General features: G+C 40.8%; 1 long non-coding RNA gene across 1 annotated transcript; it reads right to left on the bottom strand.

Annotated features, from left to right (window-relative positions):
• Positions 1-1,356: 1,356 nt before the first annotated feature.
• On the bottom strand, positions 1,357-7,829 carry LOC105375250 (uncharacterized). Its single transcript, XR_001745012.2, has 3 exons — positions 7,645-7,829; positions 6,268-6,585; positions 1,357-2,120 (listed from the first exon to the last, which is right to left on the bottom strand). It is a non-coding gene; the product is annotated as an uncharacterized LOC105375250 (long non-coding RNA).
• Between the last annotated feature and the right edge of the window lie 2,156 nt (positions 7,830-9,985).

Here is a 9,985-nt window from a genome sequence, read left to right as displayed (position 1 = left end):
CTCAGACTCTTTTATGGGGTTTTCTTTCTCCTCTTGGTCCCTAAATGATGTACTTCAGTGTTTTAACCTTAGACCTTCTTCCTCTCATTTCTATAGTCATCCATTCTCATGGATTAGGTACTATCCATGTCAGTGGCTCTCACCTGGGGGTGATTTTGTCCCCTGGGGACATTTGGCAATGTCTGGAGACATGTTTCATTGTCATGACTTGGACACGCTACTGGACCTAGTGGACAGAGGCCGGGGATGCTGCTGCACATCCCACTGTGCCCTGGACAGCCTCACAACAAAGCTGTATCTGTCCCAAAATGTTACCAGTGCCAAGGCTGAGAAACACTCTTCTGTAGGACAATGAATCTCAAAACTGTTTCTCTCCTGGGGGGTCCTCAGAGTCAGAGCCACATTTCTAGCCATCCACTGGGTCTTTCCACTTGATGTTCCTCAGGCATGACAGACTCAAAATGTGTCATCTTACTCTGAAAACCTTGCCCCCTCCGGTGTTCATTGTTAATATTAATAGCACCACCCTTCACCCCCTCACTCATGCCAGAGCTCAGAGTGCCGTCCTTCATTCATTCTTCCCCTCACCACTGAAATACTATCGTCAATAAAATGCTGACAATCTACCACTTCAATATCTCTGAAATCCATCTACCACTCCTCTTTGTTGGACTTCTACTTCAGTCTTCTTGACATTCATCCCCCGCTCTATCCTGTAACAAACATGTTGGAAACCTTCTCTATTTTAGTTCTACTGAATACAGTACAGCTGGTGTGTGACGTGCTGCTATTGGCCACAGAAGCCAGCATATTCCGCTCTCTCTGTCTGCAACAGTTTGCATTTGTCTGAGATCTCTTTCTCCATAAGCGTGTGTGTGTGCATTCTCTCTCTTTCTCTCTCTCTCTCTCACACACACACACACGCACACACACAACACACACACTTTATCCGATGAATTCATTCAGGTCTCAGTGTTGGATGTCATTTCCTCAAGGAAGCTTGCTATAAGACTTAGAGCCTGCGTGTCCCCCTTCTACTGTCCCATGGCACCCCATTCTTCCCTAACATAGTACAACAACACTGTTTGGATAACTTGCCAACTCGATTGGAATTTCTATTTCCTTTTTATGTTACTGATGCTTATCACATTCCCTGCACATTGTGGGCACTGGATAAATGTCCAGTAAGTGAATAAGTGAATAATCCACTGTTCATTTATATAGTTAGTAACAAATTTAGGTCCTCATGAATGTTCTTTCTCAAACAACTGTTAATAAAAATTTGGCCACCTTAAAAATTTTTTTTGGTTAAGAACAATTTAATTTAAGACAAAAGAAATTAGAAATTATATCACACTTTATATATTTGGTTATTTATAGATGGATAATATGCAAATATTTTGTGAAGAATTGAGCTTCCATATAAAATTGTATCAGTACAATCGATACTTACTTTCATACATTTAGTGACAATGTATTCCTAAATTGGTATAGAACATATGCATGCTCTCTGAACTGACTACAAAGTGTTGGATAATAAACCAGAAAAGTTAACATCATACTTTTATTTGATCTTTTGACTCAAATAAGGTGCACAAACTGTTTACTGGCACCTGCATTTGATCCTCATTTCTTAAATGTTCAACACTGCTTACACTTAGCTTCCCAAACGGGATCATTCTAAAGCCACCCCACTGAGCTTTCTTTGCAACTGTGCTTAAGGGTGATATTTATGCACAAGTGCTAAGTCTAAGTAACTTCTATGGTTGGAAAAAAATCCCAAGAAAGATAAAAATGAAGACCAAGGTGAATCCCCAGCACTGCCTCCATACTTTTTGGTGCCTCCATACTGCACCATTCTTGCCACACAAAAGCAGAGATTACTGATGAGTTTCAGCCTCCTACTGTATTAGGTTACACTGTGTAAAACAAATCTACCACCAGGATGTGAACAAGGGGATGCAGGAAATGACATTCCACAAGGTTTGGGCAACTCTATGGATTAAACTTAATTCTTCATCCTGGGGATATGTGAGCTTAGACCTTAGTCATTATTCAAACCTTTGTGAAATGAAAATCCCTTCATCATGGTGTAATATACGGTGAAAATGAACTTCTTCCTGGAATATAAAAGAAAGTAAAATACTTTTTGCTGATGTTCTTTCATAAACTCTATACAGTAACTGCAGAAATCAAATGATTTACTCTCTTAGGCTTAATACATTTTCAAATCCCTAGACCGTTTGATGGACCTTCTACTACCTGGCCTTCTGTCAAACTGTAACTTATCTGTGACACCATTAGAAACTCATATTAAAATGGAAGCTGTAGAATTCAGTTGGCTGATACCATCATGCCCTTCCCTTCATTGGAAAATGGCCCAAAATGTTTCATCTCTGCAGTCCTCTAAGGTAAGGAAAAAAGTCCATGAAGAGGAGTAGTCCTCATTAATGAATTCCTCATATGGCATTCTTCTGGGTTGTTTGTGAGCCATTTCAAAATTGAAAGAAAATTATTCATTCAAAGAATTTAACTACCCATACTGAAGGTCAGCCTCTACAAACGTTGGGTACATCATACCTGAATAAAAGCATTAAAAGCTTAGTAGGGAAAGCAGACATATAAAAATAATTATAGCATAGTATGATAAACACTGTATTAAAAGTTATTGGGTCCTTGTCACTTGCCAAATACTATTCTAAATGCATGATATGGATAAACCCATTTAATCCCTATAATGGCCCTATGAGGTAGGTTTTATTCTTACACCTTCTCCCCACCCATAATAAGTGTGATGGACTTTTAACATGTCAGTTTTTCTAGGCTACAGTCTCCAGTTATCTAGATAATAATCTGGGTGTTGCCATGGTTGTACCTTATAGATGCAATTAAAGTCCATAATCAGTTGATTTTAAGTAAAGGGGATTATCCCAGATAATCTGGGTGGATATGGTTCAATCAGTTGAAAGGCCTTAAGAGCAGAGTTGAGGCTTCTCTAAAGAAGAAATTCCAGTCTTGTACAATAGTTTTTACCTGTGCCCCAGAGTTCCAGCCTGCCTTTCCTGACAGCCTGCCCAGTGGGTTTTGGACTTTGACAGCCTTCACAATTGTATAAACCAGTTCCTTTCAATAAATTCCTTACTGTATATCTCCTACTGGCTCTGCTTCTCTAGTAGAACCCTGACTTATACAATAGGTGAATAAACAAAGCCAAGGAGGCTAAGTAACTTGTCCAAGCTGATAGGGCTAATATGTGATAGAAGACAATTTTAACTCCTTAAGTCTGAGTGCAAAGCCCCTGGGTTGACACAACCATATTTGTGTATCTGATAGAATAACATGTTCAAAAGAGGCACAAACAGGAGATCCTTACTTCTAATTGATAGGATTGGTGGTGGTGAAGAAAGGCCTCTCCTAAGGAGATTGAAGGTGGAGGAAATGCTTAAACTGGGTTTTCAGGGATAAGTTGAGCTTTGCAAGGTGACTAGGATATGAAGACACACAAGATGAAGATGCTAGAAAAGCTCTGCATGTGGTGCAATGATACATGGAAACACACACATGCGGGAATCAAGCATTTCATGTCACTGCCTGGGATCTTAGTCTCCAGTCTCTCACCCTTGAAAAGTTGGAGTGGATGGCCTCTAAAGCTTACTGTAAAGAATAAATAGACAACCTGTGTAAAGAATCTTACAAGCTCCCTGGCACAAATAAGTGTCTATAAAATCACTTCCTTTCTCCATCACACCAATGTCTCCCTCCCCTCCAAAGTTACCTCCAAGTAGCACATGTTCTGATCCTGATGATAAATTAATATGGCAGACATGCCATTATATTCCACCCCTTTCTCTGTAGAACTAAACAGAATATACCCACTGTGTGCCAAGAGCTGGCTTGGCCATGGGAGAAGTCATAATAAAGAAAACAGATTTGGTCTCTAACCCCAAATTGTTTGCAATCTAGTCTGAATGGCATAATTTTAAGGGGTCTATAATAACTGATATGAAGAGAAAAATACACCAGGCTAAGACAGCAAACAGGAAGGGGCTTTAACTCAGGCTGGGGTTATCAAGGAAGGCTTCCTGGAGGAAGGGGCATCTCAACTGGAACTTGAAAAGCAAATAGGAGTCCGCTAAATGGCTGTTGTTAATTAGTAGGAAGAGTCCATGTGAAGTCATAGTTCATAGCTGAAGAAGTGAGTGGCGTAGGGAATTCCCAAAGCACCCCTTACCCACTCCCTGCTTAAAGATCATCTGTGGACCAACAAGTTAGTTTGGTCAGCCTTTTGGCTGGCAGTGCTCAGACAGTGAGAAGGACCCTTATATGGAATCTCTTTCCATCCTGTACAAGCCAGATGTGAAAATAAACATGCCTGCATTCAAGTTCACTCCATTGCACATTTTCCTGTACTTCTACTGAAGGTTAGAATGCTAACTCACTTGGCATTTCAACCAGACTCCAGCTTCTGCCTAGCTGGCTGGCTTCCAATGCCAATTTAATGGCCTGTGGTGTGATAACAAAAATTTAGCTTCTGTAGTAAAATGGAAGGTAATAATTTGAGTGGGAGGGGAAAGTGCAGCCATTTTCCTGTGATGTTACAGAAACTTTTCTAGCCACATTTGATCAATTTTAATCTTATTTTTCCCTTATAGGTCTTCTATTTTTTTCTTGTTATGCCAAAAGAAACATTTTATGAGAAAAGTCATAGGATTTATATGTTCTCTGAACTAGAGTTTTACTAGAAATTTATGTGAAATCGACCTATGTGTGGACTCTTGGGACAAGATCACGAATAAACAGTCCTGATGGAACTGAATATACCAGTCATTCAGAGAAAAGAGCAGAAAGAGGTCATAATCAGACACCTGAGCCTCATTTAAATAGGAAGCCCAGACCTCAGGAAGAGCTACAGCAAATGTTTGCTATTAAAAGAGGGTCCCAAGGACTTCAGCTACTTGGCATAGGCCTGCATCCCACTCCACACACACAGGGGAATGACATTTCCCAGAGGGTACTGCTGAGGGGGCCTTTGTCTCAGTTCTCACTTAGAGAGCTGAAAGTCAATATGGTGGGACACTTCTCAGAGGTCTCAGTAGCATGGAACATTGTGTCAAACTGGGTGACCATGTACAAGGAGTGGCCTGAAGTTATTTGACTGAAGGAATCCCTGCTCCCCGGTGAAGTCCAGTTACCACAAAGACAAGACCGCCCTGTACCAGTCTGGGGTAAATGAAAGGCATCAGCAAAGCTGGAGGTTGTAGGTCAGCAGCAAGTCCCAGGAAAATGTGCCTGGAAGTCACAGAATATCAGCAAGGTCAAAGGGAAGCAGGAGCTGGGCCTAAGCAGAGCTGTGCAGAACTAGAGTGGCTTCAGAAGACACAACAGCAAAGACCCAAAAGGACATCAGTATGCACCCACTGGTGGAAATGGGATGACAACTTCATTTGTGTGCAATGAAAAGGCCGTGGTCCTGCATGCATGCACCTGGGTGCACATTGTGGGGTTGGGGGGTTGTGGAGAACATTTATTCTCCCCCCATTTTAACAGAGACAAGGAGGTGGCAGAGGCCCCATCCTGGCACAGAATCAAGAGCCTGTGGATCACGTCTCCGAGGAAGGCATGAGGAGAAGAATGTTTTCTGTGCTTTGTCAGAGTTCACGCTCACTCCTTGGCCATCTTGAGCCTGAACTATTGTGGAATAAAATACCCGGAAAATGACGGAAGAGATTTTGCCCAAGGTTAAGGGGACATGCCTGCTCTGATCATATCTGGCCATGGAGGGAATGCCTATGAAACTAAGAGGAAAGTGACTGCTTAGAAAAGGAGAAACAAAGAGAGAGAGAAAGTGAGAGAAAGAGAAAAGGGATAGGATTCTCCTTTTAGATAAACCAGAATTACTAGGACAGACTTATATGAATTTCTAAATCTCAGCAGCTCTTCTATTCTTGCCTTAATTGAGTCTTTTCTTGTTACAAAGAATAAAGAGAAACTTCAATGACACTTCAGTTGAACAGACATGAGATAGGTAAGCTAGAACATAAATAAAGGCAACACATTTAGAACTGGGGTTCACAGAGAAATAGATGCACCTGCATTTGGAAATCAGGCCTTCTAGAGAAGTAGAATATCATGAAACATTCACCCAGTCCCAGTAACCTGGATATCCAGTGATCTCTTTAGCAGCTGTCAATCATTGCTGCTGCGTGCTCTCCCTTTCTGGCTCTCAGCTACTTGCTGGCCAGCACACATGGACTGATTGCTACTCACCTTAGGGCTTCTGCCAACTGTGGCTTCCACCTATTCGCTTCTCTCTGCTTCTCACTTGCTGTTCCTTAACTGTCTTCCAGATGTTCTTCCCCAACTGTCTTATAGGTGCTTTGAGATGCTGCCAACAGATGCTGTTGTGTCTATTCAAACTCCCTAAAGTGCAGATCTGAACACTCAATGGCAAAGTTTGGAGCCATCACCAACTCATCCTGCTCATTCACTGGGGGCCAGTCAGGACAGCAGGGTTACAGCATTTCTAGAGCTGTTTGCAGTTGCTTGCTGGAGCAGCAGGGGCCTGGGCATATCAGTCCATGGTCTCTGCATTAGGAAGACAGCATAATGCATGGGAATGTAGATATCATAGAAAATAAGCAGATCAGTGTCACATGCTCAGAAAACACTATTACAGTAAGAGAGAGTATCATCCTCCCATTAGAAAGAAAACACACACACACATACACACACTTGATAATAGAAGGTGATATTCCAAGGATCTTGGTGTGGATAGAATTGCTGTGTACACTACAGAAAGGAGAAATTTTCTGGTTCCTTCAGAGATGGAGGAGAAGGAAAAGAAAGAGGAGTAGAAGACATGAGTAGTATTACCAGACTCACAAAATGTTTAGCGTGAGAACTCTGTGAAACTGGTGAAGGACTTGAGTTCACTTGAATTCACACCTCATTTGATGAGAAGAAACACATACAGAACCAGAAATAGAGACAAAGAGAAAGTATTTTGAACAAACAGTGTTATACTTAACAATTTGACAAAGTAGAAGTCTCCATAAGACAGAATATTTTATTGAACACATACTGATTACTCATTAAGCATACAATCCTCTAGGAAATACCTTACATTCCTTGTCATAGGTAATTCTCTTAACCCCATGAGATACAGATCCTGAATTTACAGAAGAATCTGAGGCTCAGAGCAGTTACGTAACTTGCATGAGGTCACATAGCTGTAAGTGTTGGTGCTGTCTTTATTTGTGTCATTAAAGTTCTTTGGCATATGGACTCACTAGAGATGTCTTTTTTTCTTTGCCTTTTTAATGATATAAAATTTACAGCTGAGGCGCAGTGGCTCATGCCTCTAATCCCAGCACTTTGAGAGGTGGAGGCAGGCAGACTGCCTGAGCTCAGGAGTTCGAGACCATCCCAGGCAACATGACAAAACCCTGTCTCTACAAAATATACAAAAATTAGCCTGGCGTGGTGGTGCGCACTTGTGATCTCAGATATTTGCTGAGGCATGAAGATTGCTTGAGCCCAAGAGGTGGAGATCATGTCACTGCACTCCAGCCTGGGTGACAGAGGGAGACCCTGTATCTTAAAAATAAATAAATGAATAAATATAAATAAATAAATAAAACTTACTTTGAGTGAAATATGCAGATATCAAGTGAATGATGTGGCGAGCTTTGATGAATGTGTCAACTTTTGTATCCATCACCACAAACAAGATGTCGCACATTCCCACTACCTCAGAAGGTTTCCTCATGTCCTTGCCAGGGCTCCTCACTTCCCACAGGCAGCCCTAGCTCTCAGTGTCTATCCTGCTGGGTTAGTTTTGCCTATGTTTGACCTTAATTGGCCTTAATGGAATTGTACATTATATGTCTTGTGTAAGCACAAGCCTCTTTCAGTCCGCAGTACGTGAGGTTTCTATGCCTTGCATATATCAGTAGCTCATTCCTCTTTTTTTTTTTTTTTTTTTTTTTTTTTTGTGAGACGGAGTCTCGCTCTGTCGCCCAGGCTGGAGTGCAGTGGCGCGATCTCGGCTCACTGCAAGCTCCGCCTCCCGGGTTCACGCCATTCTCCTGCCTCAGCCTCCCGAGTAGCTGGGACTACAGGCGCCCGCTACCACGCCCGGCTAATTTTTTGTATTTTTAGTAGAGACGGGGTTTCACCGTGTTAGCCAGGATGGTCTCGATCTCCTGACCTCGTGATCCGCCCGCCTCGGCCTCCCAAAGTGCTGGGATTACAGGCGTGAGCCACCGCGCCCGGCCGCTCATTCCTCTTTATTGCTCAATAGTATTCCACTGTAAGAATAAACCACAAATTGTTTATCCATTTTTCTACTGAGACACATTTGCATTGTTTCCAGTTAGGGGCTATTATGGACAAATCTTACATAAACATTCATGTAAATGTCTATTGTGGACATATGTTTTCACTTATCTTTGGTAAATACTTAGGAGTGGGATTGCTGCTTCTCATGTAGATGTATGTTTAACTTTATAAGAATAGCCAAACAACTTTCCAAAGTGACTGTACCACTTCACACTCCCCACAGCAATGTATGAAACTGCCTGTTGCTCCATAATCTTACCGCATTTTGCATATCAGTCTTTTTTATTTTAGCCATTTCATGGATGCAAAGGAGTATTTCCTTATGGTTTTCCTTTGCATTTCTGATAACAAATGATGTTGAGCAAATTTTCCTCTGCTCATTTGCTATTCCTGTATCTTCTTTGGTGGGTGTCCAATTTTTTGCCCTTTTAATTGAGGTGTTTGTGTTTTATTGTTAATTTCTAAGAGTTCTTTATATAGTCTCCATTTAAGACTACTTTCAGAAATATGTATTGTAAATATTTTCTCTCAGATGTGACTTGCCTATTCATCTTCTTTTTTCTTTTCTGATACAGGGTCTCACTGTCACCCAGGCTGGGGTGCAGTGGCACAATCATGGCTCACTGTAGCCTTGACATCTCAGGCCCAAGCAATCTTCATATCTCAGCCTCTCAAATAGCTAGGACTACTTGGCTACTAGTAGACATGAGCCAACATGCCTGGCTAATTAAAAAAAAATTTTAGAGATGGGGTCTTGCTGTGTTGCCCAGGCTGGTCTTGAATTCTGGCCCCAAGAGATCCTCCTGCCTTGGCCTCTCAAAGTGTTGGGATTACAGGTATGAGCCACCACAGCTGGTCTGTGTTCATCTTCTTAATTCTGCATTTTGCTGAGCAGAAATTTTTTATTTTCATAAAGTCCAATTTATCAAAATTTTAAATGTTTACTACAGTTTTTGTCCTTTAAAAAATATATTTGCCTCCTCAAAACCATTGACTTATTTTCTTGTTTTCTTTCAGGAGCTTTATAATTTTAGACTTTACATATAGGTTTATGATCCATCTCGAATGGACTTTTGTGTGAGCTATGTTTCAAGGTTCATTTTTGCCCTCTACATTTATCTAATTGCTCCAATACTGATTATTGTAAAGACGTTCCTTGCCACATTGAAATGCCTTGGTACCTTGCCAAAAATCATTACAAGTATCTATATTGTTCTATTTCTATATTCTCTATTCTTGTACCATTGATCTATCTTTGTATATTTAATTTATTAGCATTCTATCTTATTTCATAGCTTTACATTAGGTCTTGAAAACAAATAAGGTAAATGAATCCTCTAATTTTGAAATTATTTGTCAAGCTTATTTTGGAAATTTTAGTTACTTTGCATTTCCAACTTTAAAGAAGTGTGCTGAGACTTTTATTGCTACTGCATTAAATCTATAGGTTAATTAGAGGATAAATGACTAGCTGTAACATTTGCACTATAATTCTTACTGGAGATCAAGGGCAGTCCAGAAGAAATAAGAGAGGAGATAGCAGAAAGACCAAGGTTGATATAAAATCACTGACAGAAGAGAAAGTGCACCCTAAGTTGTTCAGATTGAAAAAGAATCATGATGGATGAGTACAAATTACAGGGAA

The sequence above is a fragment of the Homo sapiens genome, chromosome 7, assembly GCF_000001405.40.
Source record: "Homo sapiens chromosome 7, GRCh38.p14 Primary Assembly".
In the NCBI taxonomy this organism is placed as follows: Eukaryota; Metazoa; Chordata; class Mammalia; order Primates; family Hominidae; genus Homo; species Homo sapiens.
Note: the sequence above shows the minus strand (reverse complement) of the source record. Positions and strands in the feature narration are given on the sequence as shown.